The following is a 20600-nucleotide window of genomic DNA, read 5'->3' as shown; positions in this document are numbered from 1 at the left end:
GTATTTACTCAATAATCTCCCACATCGGTATATGTAGAAGTACGTCACTCTTTTTAATAGCTGCATAGTATTACATGGAATGTAACCATTCCCTTGTTGGTAGACAGTGGGGTCTCTAATTTTTCACTATTGCAGATAAACCTTCAGAGGACAGTCTGATGACATATGTTTGCAGGTATCTGGCCATGTTTATTAATAATTAAACTATTTGTTTGAAGATATGTTTCTCCAACACATGTACATGCCTACACATCCCTATCGAAACTATGAGGTTAATTTATAGAAAGTTTCTTAAATCCTTGGTTCCCCTCTAATTACCTGCCCCTTCATACTTAATCTGTTCACATGTTTGCTTTAAGAACTAAGCATTTTTTTCTCATGCCTTCAGCCTCCTGCTTCAGGAGGGGACGCTGCCCAGAACTGGGAGTTGGCTGCCTGCTTTTCTTAACCTACATATATCAGTCCATTTTCACACTGCTATAAAGAATACCTGAGACTGGGTAATTTATAAAGAAAAGGGGTTTAATTGACTCACAGCTCCACATGGCTGAGGAGGCCTCAGGAAACTTACAATCATGGCAGAAGGCAAAGGGGAAGCAAGGCACGTCTTACATGGCAGCAGGTGAGAGAGAACACAGAGGAAACAGCCACTTTTAAATGATCAGATCTTGTGAGAACTCTCCCACTATCACAAGGACAACGTAGGGAAAACCCCCCCAGGATCCACTCACCTCCCACCAGATCCCTCCCTCAACATGTGGTGATTACAATTCAAGATAAGATGTGGGTGGGGACCACAGCCAAACCATATCACTACACTTGCATTCAACCCTCTCCTATTCCACTTGCTGCAGGCAGGAAGTTGAATTCAGCCAAATATCATCAAAGAACCATAGAATCTGGGGGATAGCTTTTGTACAAACTGAAACTCTTCCTTCCAACGTGTCTGTGAGTGTATTAGTTTTCTGTGGCTGCTGTAACAAATTACCATAAACTTGGTAGTTTAAAACAAAGGAAATTTATTTTCTCACAATTTTGGAGGCCAAAAGTTCGAAATCAGTATCCCTGAGCCAAAACCAAGGCATCAGCAGGGCTGCATTCAGTTCAGAGGCTCAAGGGAGAAATTTGTTCCTTGCTGAGTCCAGGTTCTGGTGGCTGCCAGCATTCCTTGTCTTGTCACTGCACCCCTCCAAACTTCAAGGCCAGCATCTTCAAATTTCCCTCTTCCATCTTCAAATGGCCTCTCTGTGTGTCAAAACTCCCCTTACCTCCCTTTTATAAGGATACATGTGATTGCATTTAGCACTCCCTCTTCTCAAGATTCTTAATCACATCTGCAATGACCCTTTTTCCAAGTAAAGTAACATTTACAGGTTCTAGGGATTAGGACCTGACATCTTTGGGGGACATTATTCAACCTAGTTTGATGGAGTTGTTGACCTCCTTTCCAATATATTTTACTGCTGGGGCACATTTGATATTTCCTTTGAACCATTTGGGAGAATGTATTTTTATTCATAAGGGAGGCAGAAATAGATGTTATTTTGCTCTGTACATTGAAAACTTAGCTAGAAAGGTGAAGTGCCAGAGTCAAGGTCAGACAGAAAATCTCTGGCTTACAAGCTTCTTAAATTGGAGACTGTGTGGCATGAATTGCATGCACAACTGTAATGAGTGAAATTACAAACGTGCCCATCTTCATTTTTCAATTTGGAAATATTTAGCTGTATGAAAGTTTATATGCCCTAGCTAGAAGGAAATTGAGAAGCTATCTATTATACCTTCTTTCCTGCAGATCAAACCAAACCCATGCCATACATTTTTTAAATCTTCCCAGATGTGCATACAGGTGTTCCACTCCTGTTCAAAATAAAGAATTGTGCTAGGCAATATTAAGGGCATAAGGCCAGGAGAAGTGCACACTGCTTAGGCATTTAGCAGCATTCAAATACAAGGATAAGGTTCGTGAGCGTACATTTAACTGACATTATGTCTCCTGCTTCAAACTCTTCAGTCCTCCCTGCAAAAAGCCTATTACGGTTTTGGACTTGGCCCTCCCCTTGCCATGTGAATGCTAATGTCTAATACCTCCATTTCCCAATTTCATAGCAGGCCTGCATGCTCATAAATTAAACTGCATCGCTCAGCATTATCATGTGCATTCTAGGATTTAGTCCAAAATGGCCCAAACTGCTGCCTATTTCAGCAGAACTCCCTTTGGCCATTGCCTGTTAATATATTATAGAGACATTAGGACAGTGATTTGAGAGTGCAGACCAGGCAGGTAGAGAACATACTTCCCTGCAGAGAGGTCTGTGGGCAAATGGGAGTGGCTCAGGGGAATGATTGTGGGGAGATGTTGGTTGCCTCATTTCAGACAGAGGATGGGGCCTACGTGGACTGCCCCACCTGAAACAGGGGGAATGCATCTGCCACAGACTGTCTTATAAAAAACTATTGAATGTGAATGGCTAAAGTTTAAAAGATAACAAATCAATTGAAAGAAGTAAAATAAATCCCAGACCATGGCTAAGTTTTGTCACTTTCTAAGCCAGTGATGGTGGTTTAAAAACATACCAAAATGTCCACCACAGAACCAGATTGTAAAGGAAACATAGTGGTGCTTGGCTTCTCAACATAACACTAAACACTGATACTTTTAAATCACAACCAAATCTGCACATGGTTTTTTAAAACTCAAGTAGTATAGAAGAGCATTCAATGAAAAGTTGCAGCTCTGTCCCTACTGCCCCCACCCCACCTACATCCCAAAGGCAAGTTGCTTTAGCCTTTTGAGTCTTTATTTTGGAAGTTAAAAGCAACTTTAAATTGTATGCCACTGAGTCCCATTATGAAAAAATAAAGATTTAACTCATTTATATTCTCTGCACCCTACCCTTCCTCTTTCCTCTCACTTTTGATGATTCTATTACAATGTTTATTCTTTAATTGGATACATTTTTACTTGAATAATACATTTTTATCGCTTGAGTCACAAATGGCCAGTTTGCCTATCCAATATCTGTTTCTCCCTTCTTCCTTATTAAAACAAACCCAATTTTGTTGAGAGCAACAATGTGCCATCAAAAAAAACTATACTCCTCAGTTTTCCTTGTGATAGTTTGCCTTGTTACAGTGTTCTGGCCAGTGAGATGTAAGCAGAAATTGTTGGGTAGGAAAACTCCTTATAAAGGGGACTGACTCAGCAGGTAGGTTCCCTTTACCCTTCTCCTCTCTTTCTTCTTCTTACCTGGAGCACAGGTATGATGGCTGGAGCTGCAACAGCGGTCATGCGACCATGAGATAATCTTGAGGGTAGCTGGAAGTCATGTTCTAAGAATAACAGAGAAAAAAATCTAGAGGGATCCTGGCAAATTGGTGACATCAGAGCTGCTGCCCTAACCCTAAACTGCCTATCTTCCTCATCTTCATTTTATGAGAGACAAGTTTAGGCCCTGTTTTGTCTAAGGCATTATTTTCCCCCACATTTGTTATTCACAACAAATCTGTGCCTCTCATTCATCAACTTTAATCAGTATCTAGACTCTCCACGAGGTGAGAGGAAACTATTGGTGCTTTTGCTGTCCTTCCCATCATTCTCCAACTACTGCTTCTGGTAGCTGTATTTTTCTTTTTTTCTTTTTTGAGATGGAGTCTCACTCTGTCACCCAGGCTGGAGTGCAGTGGCATGATCTCAGCTCACTGCAAACTCTGCCTCCCAGGTTCAAGCGATTCTCCTGCCTCAGCCTCCTGAGTAGCTGGGATTACAGGCGTGTGCCACCACACCCAGCTAATTTTAGTATTTTTAGTAGAGATGAGGTCTCACCATTTTGTTCAGGCTAGTCTCGAACTCCTGACCTCATGATCCATCCACCTCGGCCTCCCAAAGTACTGGGATTACAGGTGTGAGCCACCACTCCCGGCCGCGAGCTGTATTCTTACATTGCCAATGTTGATAACATTACCTTTCTATTCTGTGATTACAAGCCTTCTGTGTCTTTTCACTAGATTGACTCTAAAAGTTGAACACCATTAAATAGGATTTACATTATTATGACCACGTATGTGTTCACTCCTGGGTCAAGTGTCCCTGGATCACTCAAAGAGAAATTCCTAATATGGGAGTCAAATTAACTTTTTTCTCATATTCCATCAAGGAGTTAAAATTATGTCCCATTTTAATTTACATTATTTTTGGACCATGTTATTTATGGTCCTTTTTTCTTAGAGCTCCACATTTTCACACTCTGCCCTCAGCTCTTACTCCTCAGCCTATACAACTATCATTCTAGGTTCACCTTTCTCCAGGGTTAAATTACCTCTACTTAGGTTGTTTTTCTTCCTTGTTTTGCTGGAACACATCCTCAAAGAACTTCTTAGAGTGACTGAGTGGTAAACTTTGGGTCCTTTCATATTTTAAAGTGTATTTATTCTATTCCTGTACTTAAATGATGGTCTAGATTTAAAGTTGTTTTCTCTCAGTATGCTGGTATTGTTCATTGTATTTTTGCATGCAGTGTTGCAAATAAGAGGTCAGATGCATGCCAGTCTTATTTGCATTCTTTTGTGAATTTTTTCCTATTCCCTAGAAATCTCAGAGGTCTTTTCCTTATTGTTAGTGTTCTTTTATTTCAGGCCAAATGTGTTATCAATTAGGTTGATGTTGGTTGCAGCTGTCACACCAACTAAAATTGACTTAATGATAAAAAGGGTATTTGTTGGCTTACATAATTGAAATGCCCTAGATGGGATGAGATGGGATTGATGTTAGGAATATAGTTCTATCAGATCTCTGGTACTATTTATGTGTGATTCTCTTGGTATAGGCAACTGGGTAAATCTCAAGACAATCCTGATAGAACAGAAAACAAGGAATCAAGGCAGAGGTTGACAAGCAATGCAATGGCATTGAAGCCTGGCATCAGAGAAGGCTTAACAAGGAGACCTTTAATTTTAAATGTTTAATTGTGATAAAATACACATAATATAAAATTTACCATCTTCACCATTTTTAAGTGTGTAATAAATGCATTGATGTTGTTGTGCAAGCAATCTTCAGAACTTACCTCGCAAAACTAAAAGTCTATACCTATTAAACAATAAGTGTTCCTTCCCCCTCTCCTCCCACCCCCGGCACCGCCATTCTACTTTATCTTATTAATTTAACTGTTGTAGGTACCTCATGTAAGTGGAATTATTCAATAGTTGTTCTTTTGTGACTGGCTTATTTTTACTTAGCATGATGTCCTTAAGATTCATCTATATGGTAGCATATGTCAGAATTGCCTTCCTTGTAAGGCTAAATAATATTTTATTATATACATGCAACGTATATTTTGTTTTTCCATTCATTTTGTTGATCCATTCTTCCGTTAATGGACACTTGGTTTCCTTCCACCTTCTGGCTACTGTGAATAATGCTGCTGTGAATATGGGTGTACAAATATCTGTTTGTATCACTGTTTTTAATTCTTTTGAGTATATACTTAGAAGTGGAATTCCTGGATCATATGGCAATTCTATTTTAATCTTTTAAGGAACCTCCATACTGTTTTCTATAGCAGCTGCAGCATTTTACATTCCCACCAACAATGCACGGGGGTTCCCATTTCTCCACATTCTTGCAACACTTGGTATTTTCTATTTTTCAGTTAACAGTCATTCTAACAGGACGTGGTTTCTCATTGTGGTTTTGAATTTATTTCCCTAGTTATTAGGGATGTTGAGAATCTTTTCATGTGCTTCTTGGCCATTCATATGTTTTCTTTAAAGAAATGTCTACTCAAGTCCTTTGCCCACTTTTTAATTGGGTTGTTTGTTTTTGTTGTTGAGTAAAGAAGACCTTTTATGGACAGCCTTATATAGGCTGAGTGTTGGGGGGCAAAATTTAATAGACAGAAATGGATGGAAAGGACATTCTAGGCAGAGGGCCCAGCAGGATCAAAGGCATGGAGGTGTCAGAGTGCAGGGTACATTCAGGTTTTTTAAGTCACCAGGCTGTGTCAGACCATAAATTACAGGAGGGAAGCAGCCAGCACTAATGCAGGAAAAGCAGGGCTTCCTCACCCTCTGAAGAGGGGGAGTCAGGACACCACAATGAAGGAAGCCCCACTGTGGAGCCATCAAGAATGTGGAGACCATTCTACCAGATGCAGGGCTGCCCTCATCAATGTCCCCATGGTGCCCATGGGACACTGGATGCAGTCCAGAGGGGTCTGTTAAGAGGTTCTGGAGGCAGCTTACCCTGAGGTTAAGTTCTCAGGTCACAGTGCCAACCAAAAATAATGTTCATTCAAAAGTGTTTCTGAAAAGTTCCCAGGGCAGCGCCACAGTGGGGCTCAACATATCATCCTTTCCTAGGCCCCATACACCAAGGCCTCCTCAGGCACAGGTGCAGTCTCTCTTCAACTGCAACCCACATGAAGTTGCTTCCTTGATTTTAGAGACCACATTATGCAGAAGATACTTATCTTTGCACACTAGGATCACATTTGGCCCATGAAAGTGTACACACCATTAGAGAAAGGCAAGAACTGAGGCCTCTTGAGGTATATCTCTTTGGATGCTTTGGGCCACACGCCACTGAACACCTGATCAGCAGGCGCTTTAGCAATAAAGATATTTTAGCAGTTTATATAATAATAAGTCTGGAGAAAAGTAATACTGCACAAGGTTAATATAGTTCTCTAGGCCTTCCCTTTGTAGTCCTAGGAGGGCTGTAGCAGCCCCAAGCATCATATCCCTACACCACAGTGTCCAGGGGAGGGAGGGAAAGAAGAGACAGAAAAGGGGCTTTCTCATCAGTGCTCTTTCATCATCTGGGAGAATATTTCCTGATCTCCAGGTACTTTCTTTTGCATCTCATTGGCCAGAACTAGATCACATGCCCATGCCTAACCAATCACTAGCAAAGAGCTTGAGACTTCCATGGTAGGTGTGGTGCTATGGTTCTCATGCCTCTTATCCCCTGAAGCAAAATAAAATTGGTGTTTGTTAGCCAGAAGAAAAGGGAATTGCTGTGCTGCAAGAAGGACCAGCAGATTCTCCTGGGCTATATCACACTTGCTCTGGAACATCTGCTCATGGAAGACAGCGTAAATCATTTCATGTCAGCCTACATTTTATTTTATATGTAAATTATTATTTTATTTATTGAGTCCAGCACATACAGGTGAATTCTCATGAGTTGGATGTCTGTGGGCTGAAGCTTCACTGCCTTAATTTTGGGGTTGTTACCTTCATATGTCCTCCTTGGGCTTTATCCCAACCTCTGAGAATGGAGTGTTCTTTAGTTCCTCTGGCCTAACTATATTCTAGCTCTGCCTGTTGACCTTGAGGCCCAGGGATATGACTGGTCCCCTGGGGCCAGGCCCTTGCTTTCCTATCCTCTGGACAGCCTCTCTGTTCCAACTATAGAAAATGCTGTGCTTGTGGCATGCACACTCGTAGATCAACATGTATCACAATGGCCTAGAAAAAGAGCCATCAGCTAAGACGTAGCATAGCAGATCAATACGTTAGTTCTTTGGAAATCACAGAAGCAAATTAAGCTTTTGCTGATTTTTAAATTCACACACAGTAAGGAAAATCAACAAGTCCTCATTTTGTGGGAGGGAGCCTGGTATGGGGTTAGCTGGAGGTTTGTGTATAACTTGCTGGCAAATGTGTCAAGCTTCTTGACACTTGTTAACCTATGCATAGGCTTTGGTGGGAACATGGACAGGACATGTTCTGCCAGTTGTAGTTGTGGATTCTGAAGCAATAAGTGCAGGAAGAAACAAGACAGTTTGTCAGCTTAAGAATCATAGAGACTACAGTTGTTACTTATGAACTGCCTACCGTTCTGGCCTAATTTCTAGCCAACACAATAGCGATTATGCATACCATTAAATATATGTTGGATGAACTCAGTTAAAATTTTTAATTAATCACAGCCTCAAATCTGACTCAGGCCTGCTCTGACTTCATAGATCCCTGCCTAGATTTGCAGTTATCTGCTTATCACCATGGCAGTCTGCTCATAGCTCAGTAAAGAAGAGAAGCTGGGCTGCTTGGCTTATAATTTCTAGGAGGAAGTTATATTACACGAAATTGGAGAGAATGGCTCTGGACTTGGTTATGTTGTACCCAGTGAAAGTATCAGGTGAACAGCTCTTCTTGGGCATCATGTCTCTTGCCTGCACCTCCCAACTGTGATTCATAGAGCATCCACTGGCCTGTTCAGCCTTCATGGAGAGCCTGGCCAAGTTTCCACCCTTCCCAGATATTTCAGGATCCTATTGTCATCCTATTACCTTGAGGAAGTTGGTAGTAATGGCAGCTTGTTTTCTTTTTGAGTGAATGAATGAACAAACAAGCTAAAACAAAGTGGCCTTTTTTATTAGGATTTTTAGATTACATTTTAGGGCTGGTCCTAAGAGGATGTGAGAACTTAAGGACAAGGCTGAGTAGCATAGGGGAGACAACTGTCACCCTATATTCCTCAGCAATTTTTCTTTCTCCTTTACCAGAATCTTCATTTCTTAAAACCAGAAAGCAGCCTGGCTGATCTCCTGAGTTTTCCCCCAATCAGGCTGCTTTTGCCCACTCAGGCACAGGGCAGACACTGGGACACTAGCCCCTTCTGTGTGACCTCCTTCTGTTGACTGGAATCCACCACCCATACTGATGGTCATGGTACCATTTCTACTAGCATGTTCCTAGGACCCTTATGCATGCACAGTTTCAGAAAACCTGTCCTGCTGGTGCATGGGACTACAGAGTCCCACCATGCACTGTCCCACCTCACTGGGAAGGGGTTCTTCTGATTCTGTTTCCATGTGAAGACAGCTGGACTGTGGCCATGTAGACAGTCACTTTTATCTGAGTTTCTTTCTGATGGAAATAAATTGTATTATATATGGAAGGAGTGTGGTCAGGGCCTCATGACCTCTAGTATCTCCTCAGCATCTTTCTCTTCTCAATTGTCTGTCCCTCTGTGGTATTTCCTGGTTCACTAGGGGAACTCCAGAATTGACTCTGCTGTCTGTAAAGAACCATAAAGGGTCTGAAATTTTACCCTACTTGCAAGCTAACAAGTTAACCTGCCACAGTTTCATGGATGCTGGCAGAAGACATGAGACTTCTCCCTCGGAGACAAAAGACTTTATTACTCATGGCAACAGCAGTAGCCAGATGTCAGCATTTTCTTGTGCCATTTTCTGAGCTACAATTCCCACAGGAGGATGTGAAGATGGCCACATGATACCCATACTTGCAGTGGATTGTGTTATGGGAGAAGATCCCTGGGCTTCAGGAACCCAGATATTTTATCAGGGACAATAAACATGCCTGTCTTTTGCTCCAAAGAAGGACATCATCTTCATTATACTGGACAGTAACTCTGCCTGCCTTTGTCCCAGCAGGAGACAATATCAGTCTTCCAAGGCTGCTGTTAGCTATTCAAATATCTGTGAAAGAAAGTCCAGAACAATCAGCAGCCAATGCCTTACTTGAAAGACATGCAGAAACATAAGCAACCCATGGAGAACTGCCTCCCAACGTTGTCTTTGTTTTGACCTCATCCATACATTCAATTTGATTATTCCACACACGTTTTACACCTACTCTGAGCAAGACCCTATGCTTGGAGTGTAGGATACAAAAATAAAACACATTCTTTGCCCTCAAGAAGCTCACTCTCCAGTCAGATGGATAGGTGATGAATAGAGAGTAAGGTAGAATGGGATGAGATGTAAGAGAGAAAGTTCTAAGGGGATGTGGAAGGCAGAGGAGAAGACCCAACTTAGCTTGGAAGGAATAGGCATTGACAGCTTTGTAGAGGAGGTAAAAGTCTAAATGATGTAGCTATTAGCCTGGCATAAATAGGTGAGAGTGAGTGAGCACTCAGGACAGGATGAAAGGCAGTTTGACAGAGCAGCCATAGGGAGGGGGTTGGAGGGTAAGTAGCAAGGCTTGGGAGAAAAGGTCATGACCAGATTAGGGGCTCTGGATGACACCTGAAGAATTTCAACATTATCCAGAGTGAAACTGGTGGGGAAGGGATTAAGCAGGGAATCAGCATGTTGATGTGTGTGTTGACAGATCCCTTGGGCAGCTACGCAGAGGATGGATCAGAGGTGAGACTGGAAAAAAGACAGGCTAGGAGTGCATTCAGATCCAATTGAGAAATAATGAGTCCCAATCTAAGGCAGGGACTATGGAGTTTGAGAGAGGGATGAGCAATAAAGATATTACAGAGGTGGGACTGACAGACTCTCAAGTCAAGGGACGGAGATGAGCCACATGGCTGCCAGTTTTGTGATTTGGGCACTAGAAGGGCCATGATGCTGTCCCCTGATGTCATTACGAACAATTGCTCCTGCATTTTCCTGATACACAGGGAAGCCCCCAGGGTAGCAGATGGCATAGGATGCTTTCCCAACACTAAATGTGGCATATTGCCCACTGTTAGACTGGAGTGGGGGCCTTGGGATGGACCCCAGGTTGGGTATGGGCAGAGGCAGGGAGAGAATAGAGGAATCAAATATTACCACTAAGGTGGGAATCAGGAATCAGGGTCCTTGGATGGGGCTCAGCCAAGGCAGCAGATACAACTTATGGGGTTAAAACAAAATTTAAGTTTGGAAGGGAACTGACACCCCAGATTAGGATGCAGAAATTCTGAAGAGGTAAAGCAAACTGGGCAAAGGAGAAGTACCACATTTTGAAGGCAGTAATGGGGATGGGAGGGTGGACAAACCTGGGGCTCTGCTGTTTTGACTTGGGGAATATTTCTTCCACAGCTACCTGCTTCAGCCTAGATCCTGCCATGAAGCGGACTGCTGCTCCCTGGCTCCCACTCTGATCTGCTTTTCACTCTTGCCTTGTCTCCCAATTAATAAGGTAAATATCTCTTTTAGTCACCTTCCACTCTGCATTAGACCCAGTGGGATCCCTGCCCTCAGGGATTTACAGTGTGCTATGCAAGGAAAGAATGGAGGCTACAAAATATAGACTAAAAATATTTATATATAGACAACTATACTATGTCACCTTTTCAAGGTTAGAGGAGGGAGCTCTGACTTCCAGGTGGGCCTTGCAGGAAGCTCTACAGGAGAGTTGGCATGGAAGAGAACATTCTAGCACTAGGAAATGGCATAAACAGAGGCCCAAGAAGCAGGAACATGCAGAAGACACATTAGAGAATGGTAGATGATCCCAGCTTGGCGATGATATGGAGTACTTGTAAGGAATAGAGAAGGTGGGTGGGAGACAAGTAGGAGAGGTAGAGTGAGGCCAAAATCTCCATTTTCCATATGGTTCACTAAGGCTGAGACTGACCAATTAAATCATATAGTAAGCACAAGGCTATTTGCCAGATATTTCTGGCTTTCCACCTTCAGCACATAGAGACCAGTTGTACTTTCTAGCTCACTATAGTTGTGTGGGATCTATAGAGGTGACATGTGGCAATTTGGGGCCAAGCGTAAAGTTGCTGGTGAGGGACTTTCCAGAGCCTTCTTTTTCTCTACTATTGCTACTAACTGCATTCCATGTAGTGGCTGGTCTATCATCTTGAGTCATGGATTGAGGGACAAAGATAACACAGAGCAGAGCCCTCAACTGGTGTGGAATGGGTATGAATTATTAACATGAAATAAACCTTTATTGTTTTAAGCCACTAAGATTAAGGTTGTTTGTTAGTGCAGCTTACCTGGCCTCTCCTGACTCATACACTTAATCAAGGTAACTCGGTTAGAAAGTACTTGTTGGCTTTGATTCCATGTCTGTCTTGTCATCAAGCCAGTGTCAGGCAGACGTCTGTGTACCTTTAGGGGCCCATAAGCAGGGTCAAGTCTAGAGCTGTAGATTTGGACATCACCTACACAAATGTAGTAGGACATGGAAAGAAAGTAATAGAGATTTAGTCTGTGGACTTTGGGAGTGAGGCTTCTTGCCCTCATGTTCTTTCTGTCCCACAGGTTTGTAGTCAATTCCACATGGCCTATTGATAAGTAGGACATCATTGCTGCCTGCAGGGTCTGGAGGTTCAGAGATGCTGGCTTGAGTTTGTTGACAGCTGCACACTCATAACATTGCTAAAAACTTCATAAACTCTGATGCCTGGAAATAGCCCAAGTGATTTGAGGTTTTGCTCACTTGTAAATGTTTGAGTATTGTGTCCACAAATTGCAAATTGAGTAACTCAATTTCGAGGCACAGCTGTTATTTGGAAAAGACCCATCTAGGAACGCAAGCTCCTTGCAAAATAATTGTGCTTCATTTTTGTCAAGTATCAGAAAATCATTAAACTGCCAAGCCATATGGCAAATGCCCACTAGAAGCAGAGTGCAACAACGAGCCATAATGAATCTGTTTTGGGGAGAAGTACATAGGACAGCGTCTGGTTTTTGTGATCTACAGAAAAGATTCGCTGCTGCACATTTCAGCCATCCAGAGTCCTGAGTAAGGGTTTTTCCTCCCATGAAAAATTCATATAACAAATTTAGTTATGGTAGTTTTTTTTTTTCCTTAGGTGTATTTTTTTCCCTTTCAAACAATGTCCATTTGAGTTTCTGCATATAAAATAGACTTAACTGGGACAATAGAAACTTCTAAAAGTTTACATACTTTTCCATTTTTATATACTAACCCAATAAACATTCATTAAATATTGGCATAGCAGTTAGAATTAGGTTTAGCTGTGTATAATAGAAAAATGGAAAATAATGGTGGCTTTGAAGATCGTTTCTACCCCAGGTAAAAGAAACCTGGAGGTAGGCAGCCCGGGGTTGGCATGACAGCTTCAGGGTCATCAAGTCCTGGTTTTCTCTTGACCTATTCTTTGTCAAACCTGGAGTAGGTCCTTGTCCTCAGGGTCTAATACAGCTGCCATGCTCCAGCTATCACATTCCAGGTAGCAAGAGTAGAGGAGAGGAGAAAGGTATGCCTTTCCCTTTTAAGGACAGTGCCTGACCTAACACTTCTATTCAAAGATCACTGGCCAGACCTTAGGCATGTGGCCTCAGCCTACTGCCAAAGACATTGGGAAAGGTAGCAATATGCCCAGCTGAAGACGCATTCTGTGACTAAAGAGGATGGGAGAATGGATATTGAGGAGTCGCCAGCAAACTTTATCCTACCAGAGGTCCTTGATGCTTGTTCTTCCTGCTAGATTATAACCTTCTTGAGGACAGGAACAGATTTTATTTACTCCTCTATCTCCGAGGCACTAGCACAGTAGCTGGTAGGTTGTGTTTTTAATTTTCTGCTATTTGCATTCCTAACAGCAGACCCAAAATACTCCTCACCTTCTAACCCCCTCTTCTGCCTTCTTTGTCCATGTTGACAGATCAGCTATGATTTTAGGCATATTTATTTTTCATCAGAAAATTTTACTTCTACCAGAATGATATTAGACTGTCTGTTCATGTGTTTTTCAATATTGACTCTGAATTCCAGGGACAAGAGATGCTTAGAGGAGGGTTGTTTTCTTGGAGCTAGACAAAAGACTACACAGCATTGGTACTTGGGCTTGACCTTCCTCATCAGCACCCTTCAGTGGTGACATCTCCCAGGCTGAGCTGGCCTGAGCAAGCTGCCTAATAGGTAGAAGGATGCCGAATGTGTGTCCAAGGGCTGCCAGGTCTTAGGTAACTAGAAAAATGGGAGGTCTTTTTCAAACAAGGTAAAGAACCTCCTGGAAGCTGGTATAGGGAGTGACAAATTATGTTTTAAACACAATGAAAGACAAAGGAGCTAATATTTCTAGAGAACCCTCTATGGGCCAGGTACTGTGCTAGACAGGTCACCTCCAATAACCCTCATGAAAGTTCTAAGAGGTAGATATAATTATCTCCACTTTCTATGTGGCTCACTGAGCCTTAGGGAGGTTGATTGGACTCTTTACCAGAAAGCAAGCACAAACCCTTCCCTTCCAGGTGTGTTGAAAGAATTAGCATTGATGTGTGTGAAGTTTTTAGCACAGTGCCTAGCCTATTACTCAATAAACCCAGTAGTAGTTACTCAGACGTACTTTATTGTGGCAATTGAAACTAGTCCCAAATTATGAGTATGGCATTGCAAGAGATCTCATTCCACGCCTTGTGCTCCTTCAAATCTTTTGAAATTTCTCGAAACTAAAGAGTGGGCTGCCTGCTTTCCTGGGAGTCTCATAATTAGGATGAATGCTTAATTGACATGTTTGTTTCCTCCAAGGGGTGGCTGGCAGAGGATCCTTACACCGACAAGGAAGGTATGCTTTGCTTTTGTTTTTAGCAGCATTGTGTGCCCGTAGCAACAGCGGGTTAAAAAGAAAAAGTACTGGAGATCGCATGAAGGTTGATTGCCCTAGAGAAGTCGACACGCTCACACAGATGGAAATGATTTCACCGAGTCCTGAAAAATGTGGTCGTCAGCCCCACATACAAACCACGACTTGTGTTTTCTTTAAGATGAGGAGTCTGGTCAAGAGGTCTGTGTAATAAAAGATGTTTGTAGAATCCATTTCCATTCTGCCTGAAGCCATCTGCTTTATGTCTATAATAAACAGGGATGTTTTCAGCCACTTTCCCGGGCCTGGGCCCGTTACAAATGCTCACCGCAGGGAAAGGTAAATTGACTGCCTCCCAAGCGATGAGCATTTGCACGTTACATCTGCAGTGACGGCACTTAACCTTCCCGGGTCGCCTTCCTTACTGTGCCTCCGCGACGGCCTGTGACAAATGGGCTGAGGGGTGCACACTAGGTTAGAACTTAATACACATGGAGTATTGGCCAGCATCACATTACGTGGTGAGCCAAGTGAGATGTGAGCAGGCGGAAGAGGCCATATTCCAGGAAGATGGAGGCCGTCTGACCTTCTCCAGCCAGAAAGACCTGAGGGCAGCTGGGGCCGTCCTGAGACTTTCTGATGTACCCACTGTCCCTGAAACTTGCGGATGCACTTGAGTGCTCTTTCTGAAACACAGACTGAGCAAGTCACATCCCTGTTTAAAATCGTTCAGAGGCTTCCTCCTTGCCCATAGGATAAAATCTAAACTCCATAGGCACCCAGGGTCCCTCGTGATCCTTCCACTCTCTGCAGCTTCATCTTGAGCCACTCACACATCAGCTCCTGCCTACACGTGAGCCATACTGACATCTTTCAGCTCACCTCCCACCTTCAGCTGCTGTGTCTAGGCCTTCGCAGCGCTGTGCCTTGTGCCTGACACAGTATTCACTATCTTCCCCAGCATCTCAATTCCCTCTCCATTCTTGCTTTAGCTGGAAGGTCCCTTCTGACAGCCTGCCGCTAAAAAGATGGGTGTTTTAACTTCCTATGGCTGCTGTAACAAATCACTGCAGCCATAGGAAACTAATGTGTGGCTTAAAACAACACAAATTTGGCTGGGCACAGTGGCTCACGCCTGTAATCCCAGCACTTTGGGAGGCTGAGGCAGGCAGATCACCTGAGGTTGGGAGTTTGAGACCAGCCTGACCAACATGGAGAAACCCCGTCTCTACTAAAAATACAAAATTAGCAGGGCACAGTGGGACGTGCCTGTAATCCCAGTTACTCAGGAGGAAGAGGCAGGAGAATCACTTGAACCTGGGAGGCAGAGGCTGCGGTGAGTTGAGATCGTGCCATTGCACTCCAGCCTGGGCAACAAGAGCAAAACGCTATCTCAAAAAAAAAAAAAAAATCAAACAAAAACACAAATGTATTCCCTTCAAGTTTTGTAGGTCAGAAGTTTAAAATGAAGGGGTCCGCGTTCCTTCTAGAGGTCCTGGGGACAGTCATTTCCTCGCCTTCTCCAGCAGCTAGGGGCCGTTTGCATTGCTTGGTTCATGGCCCCTTCCTAGCACCTCTCTCTTCTCTGACGACTGCTTCTTTCACACATCTTCTTTCTCTGTTTAGCCCCGTTGCTGCCCTCTTTATGGGGGCCTTCATGATAAAACTGAGTAATCCAGGCTACCCTCCTCATTTCAAGATTCTTTATGTAATCACATCTGTAAAGTCCCTTTTGCCATGTAATATAACATATTCACAGGTTCCAAGGATTAGGACACGGTCATTTTCAGGAGCCAATTATTCAGCCTCTTGCAGTGAGGTGTTAAGCCCTGAGCCCTGATCCCTTACCCTGGGGGTTATTGCCTATTGAATTGTCCTTCCCATAGATGACTGGAAGCTCTTTGAGGGTGAGGGCTGCATCTGCATTGCCTCCTATTGCATCCTACTGTCCAGTAGAGGGCCTGGCCACTAGTAGATGCTTAATAAGCAGTTGTCCACTGAGTAGATGGCAGTCAGGGCAGTGCCAGAGACCAGGCTGTTGTAGAGAAACTGGACGGACTCTGAAAACCAGTGCAGTGAGCAATGTCTAGGCAGTAAAATCTGGAAGGAATTGTCTGGACTGTCTTGGCAAATGGACAGCCATCAACCTCCAGTTCTGTAGGGCAGAGGGATGACCTTGGTGTCAATGTGCAGGAGGCCAGCATATCCCTGTTGACAGGATCATGGTGGTAAAGAGGGCCCAATAGGCAAGGATGTCTTTTTTAAGTTTCAGATTGAGTCGGGTGAAGTGGGGCTTTGGGGAGGGATCTTGTGTGCCTTCAGGGAGCCAGAAAGTTCACTTTATATCTCTGGAAGGCTCATTCCATTGACTGGGACAGAACCAAAGAGAGGAGGTAGACATCTGACAAAAATACTTGGTCAGGGATAGACACTGACTCTGTTGTTCTTTCCACACACATTTCCTGAGTACCTATTGGTGCCAGGCACAGTGCTAGGAGTTGAAAGGACCAAGATGAATTTAAAAACCACTCTCTAATCACTTGAGCCCAGGAGTCTGAGGCTGCAGTGAGCTATGATTATGCCACTGCACTCCAAACTGGACAACAAAGTGGGACCCTGTCTCTTAAAAAAACAAATAAAAAATAAAAAACCTCTAAGATATTATCTTCCACTTGGAGAAGAGCAACATGCATTAAAAAAATGACAGTTCTCTGGTGAAGAAACAAAAAGGTGATAAAATATGTAACAAGTACAGAGTTAGCATGGTGGTGAGGGCAGTAGGGGGGAGGTAAATATTCCAGGGAGAAAACCTTGAAGGCAGATCATCAGGATGGCGTTTCAGGTGGTCATGACTGCTTTTGCAGAAGCAGCATGTTGTGCTTGAGGAGTGGGATGAAATGCTGTCTAGATGACTATGGAGTGGGAGGCAGTAAGCTGGGGAGGGGGCGGGAGCCAAAGGTAGAACCTGTTTGCCTTGTCTCCAGTTTAATGATAAATTCCAACAAGCCTGTACACCACATTCTCAACTTGTTAAATCCTTCAGCTGCAATTATCACTCTCTGGCCTCCATTAAATGCTTATTGATGAGAAGCCTTCCCCAATAGCAGAAGTCTCCCTCACTTGCTCCGTCTCACTAGATATTATTAGATGATAAGGGCAGATGGGACACTTTTATAGCATGCATCTTGCCTTGTGTCTGATGAGATTTGCACTCAAATTAGAGCCAGTTTATTGTCCTGGTGGATCCCTGGAGTGATTCCATTTTAGCCCTATCACTGTATTTCGCTGGGTTTGGCTTGGGAGGGTACTTAGTTGAAGCAAATTTGAGTGTACACATGGTACAGGTGCACTGACCCTGTTACTGATCCTGGGAATGTGCACTCCTGTGTCCTTCAGCCTGCGATATGGCCCAGACATAGCACAGTCACCACTAGAACAGTGTGGCTCAGTATGCCCACAGCAAAAAAAGAAAGAGAGGCACTTATTAAAGGTCATTTATTCTCCTTCTCAGCATCACACTTCATTGCTGTTGATGCCACCATTCAAACAAATTGTTCTAATTTATAGTTTCTGGGAACTTTTGGAAAAATGGATGAGAGCCCCAGGTTACCTGAGATGCTGTTACATATTTTAATGGTGCTAACAATGTATATTTTGTCAAAATGAAACAGGATTTTGAAAGACTTCATAACAGTTGTAAAAAAAAAACAGCCACCTTTTCAGATACAGTCATCACGAGGCTGCTCTTGTGAATAGCTTGGCACACTTTGCAAATATCTCATTAAACCATCCAACCTCCCTGGGAAAAAGCTAGCAGCAGCTTGTTGACTGCTTTCTTCCCACACAGTTGGGGGTATTCCTGCTGCCTCAAAGGAAGTATGGAGAGACCACGGCCCGCCTAGGCTGAGAGCTTTTCATCTTCACACTGTAGCTCAGAGTACATGCCCTCCAGCCTGCCAGTGCCCTGTTTCAGTCTTCACTGATCCCTACTCTGGGCCAGGCTCTGTGCTTCGAGCTGAAATCCCAAGAAGGAGAAAACACCACTTCCCTTCCTAAAGGGTTTACTGTCCAGTGGATAGGAAAGACACATAAGCAGGCTTTTTCAATAAAATGTCGCTTGTGGTTTATTAAAGGTAAGTCAGAGATGAGTTAACCTAAGCTAGATGTCAAAGAAGCCATCTCAGCAGCCTTCCACCCTCCCAAGTCCCAGACACTTGTATCCCCAACTCTGTGGCAGCCACAGTGAATTAGTTAATCCAGTTTCCAATCCCCTTTCCCTTACTGTTCTCACTGGAGAGGCTGTCAAGCTAAATAGATGCCTTTTCTGGCCTCTGTTGTAGCTACAGTGGCCATGTAACCTAGTTCTGGCCAATGAGACAGAAGCAAAATCTACAGGAGGTTCTAAAAAAGCTCTTGTGTTCTTGATTAAGAGGAATAGCCAATCTAGTACAGCTTCTTGCTCCTCCTTCTTGCCTTTATTGAGGTTATGATGTGACCATGAGACAGAAACTGAAAGAATTGTAGGTCATTGTTGAGCCCATGATTTCATGTCATTAGGTGCCTACTTCCAGACTTTTTGTCATGTTAGAAACAAATGAACCTCTCTTTGTTTAGACCACTGAGGTTAGGCTTCTGGTATTTGCAGCTAATATATCCCTAACTGATATAGGTACCTAGCAGGTAATTGATAAATAGTGATGAAGTAATAAATAATGTGATCATATGAATTGGATCTTAACATATTGGGATGTGCCGGGGGGTTTTCTGGTTGGAGGAAACCAAAATAGCCTGTACAGAAGGTTGAAGCAGGAAGCCATGAAGATCTCACAAAGAAGTCCTAATAGGTAGTTCATTGTTGCTAGAATATAAAGTAGGAAACTGGATGAAAGCCTGGAGAAGGAGATAACATGGGCCAAATTGAAACAGTTTCCTTTGATATAAGCAGGGTCCCAGGTTCCTGTGACTGAGCACTCTACATGTTGCCCCCAGAACTGCAGGATTACAGCTAAGACCATCACAGCAAGATGAATAATAAAGGCAATAAATGCATTCCTCCCATTGGTTTCTGTATTATCTATTACTGCATAACCAATTACATCAAAATGTAGCAGCTTAAGATAACACATTTATTTATTATTTTTATTTATTATCTCACAGTTTCTGTGGGTCGTGAATTCAGATATAATTTAACTTATAAAGCCTATCTTATAAAGCTTCAGTCAGTGTTCGCAGGGCTGCAATCACATCTGAAAACTTGACTGGGGAAAGATCACACCCACACTCATGCACATAGTTTTTGGCAGATCCAGTTCCTCACTGGCTGTTGGCCACCAGAGGTCTCTCTCACTTCCTGGGCCCATGGGCATCTCCACGGGGCAGCTCACAACCTGCCTGCTGGCTGCATCAGGGTGAGCAAGTAAGAAAGCAAAAGAGGTGAGCAAGAGGGAAGCCAGGGGCCTTTGGTAACCTTATCTCAGAAGTGGTAACCACTACTGCTGTATTCTGTTTGTTGTAAGCAAGTTTCAGCCTATACTTAAGGGATGAGATTACCAGTGAATACTAAAAGGATCATTGGGAGCCATCTTAAACACTGCCTACCACAGACACACCACCATCTCCTTTCTCCTCCTGCTCCATTAGGGTCAGCAGTAGCAGCACCTTTCTCACCATTGTCATCATCATCACCACAGCCACAGTGATTATTTATTAAATGCTTCTTACGTATCAGGCACTTTCCATATGTAACTATCCTCACTATAACCTTGTAAGAGTAAGTAACATTATCCCCATCTTGCAGGTTAGAAACCTGAGGCTCAGAGAGGGTCTGTGATTTGCCCTAGGCCTCACAGCCAGTGAGAGGTAGAACTAGGGGTCAACCAAGTCCCACCTCGAGGAGGCAGCATCTCAGAGGCAAGAGAGCCGTGTCTGCCAGCCTGCCCTGGAGCCTGGGCTGTTTCCTTCTCACCTTTAACCTCAACAGGGTGAGACCAGAGGGTGGGCTGCACCCTCTCAAAATGCTTGGGCCCCAGATAAAGGACAATAGGTGAGATCAGAATACAGTCTGCACATTAGATAATAGTCCAGTAACAATGTTGGTTTCCTGATTTTAATCATTGTTCTGCAGTTATGTAACAAAGTGTATTCATTCTGAGAAAACACATACTGAAGTATTTAGAAGTAAAGAGATTTTATGTCTATGACTTACTCTCAAACATTTCAGAAAAAATATTTATAAACAGGTATGTATGTGTGTGGAAAGAGAGTGATAAAGCAAGTGTGGTAAAATGTTAACATTGGGGAATCTGGATAAAGAGTATAAAACATTTTGTATAAATTTTGTAACTTT

General features: G+C 43.2%; 1 protein-coding gene across 23 annotated transcripts in view; it reads left to right on the top strand.

Annotated features, from left to right (window-relative positions):
- The window catches only part of NMNAT3 (nicotinamide nucleotide adenylyltransferase 3), a 117871-nt gene that overhangs the window by 29204 nt on the left and 68067 nt on the right, over positions 1-20600 (top strand). For 13 of the 23 annotated variants that reach the window (NR_174944.1, NM_178177.5, NM_001401611.1 and 10 more), the window contains exon 2: positions 10785-10884. The gene's annotated coding sequence lies outside the window, so the exon portion shown is untranslated. 23 annotated transcript variants of the gene reach the window in all.

This window comes from Homo sapiens, chromosome 3 (assembly GCF_000001405.40).
Source record: "Homo sapiens chromosome 3, GRCh38.p14 Primary Assembly".
Lineage (NCBI taxonomy): Eukaryota > Metazoa > Chordata > Mammalia > Primates > Hominidae > Homo > Homo sapiens.
This window is presented reverse-complemented; position numbering and strand designations above follow the sequence as displayed.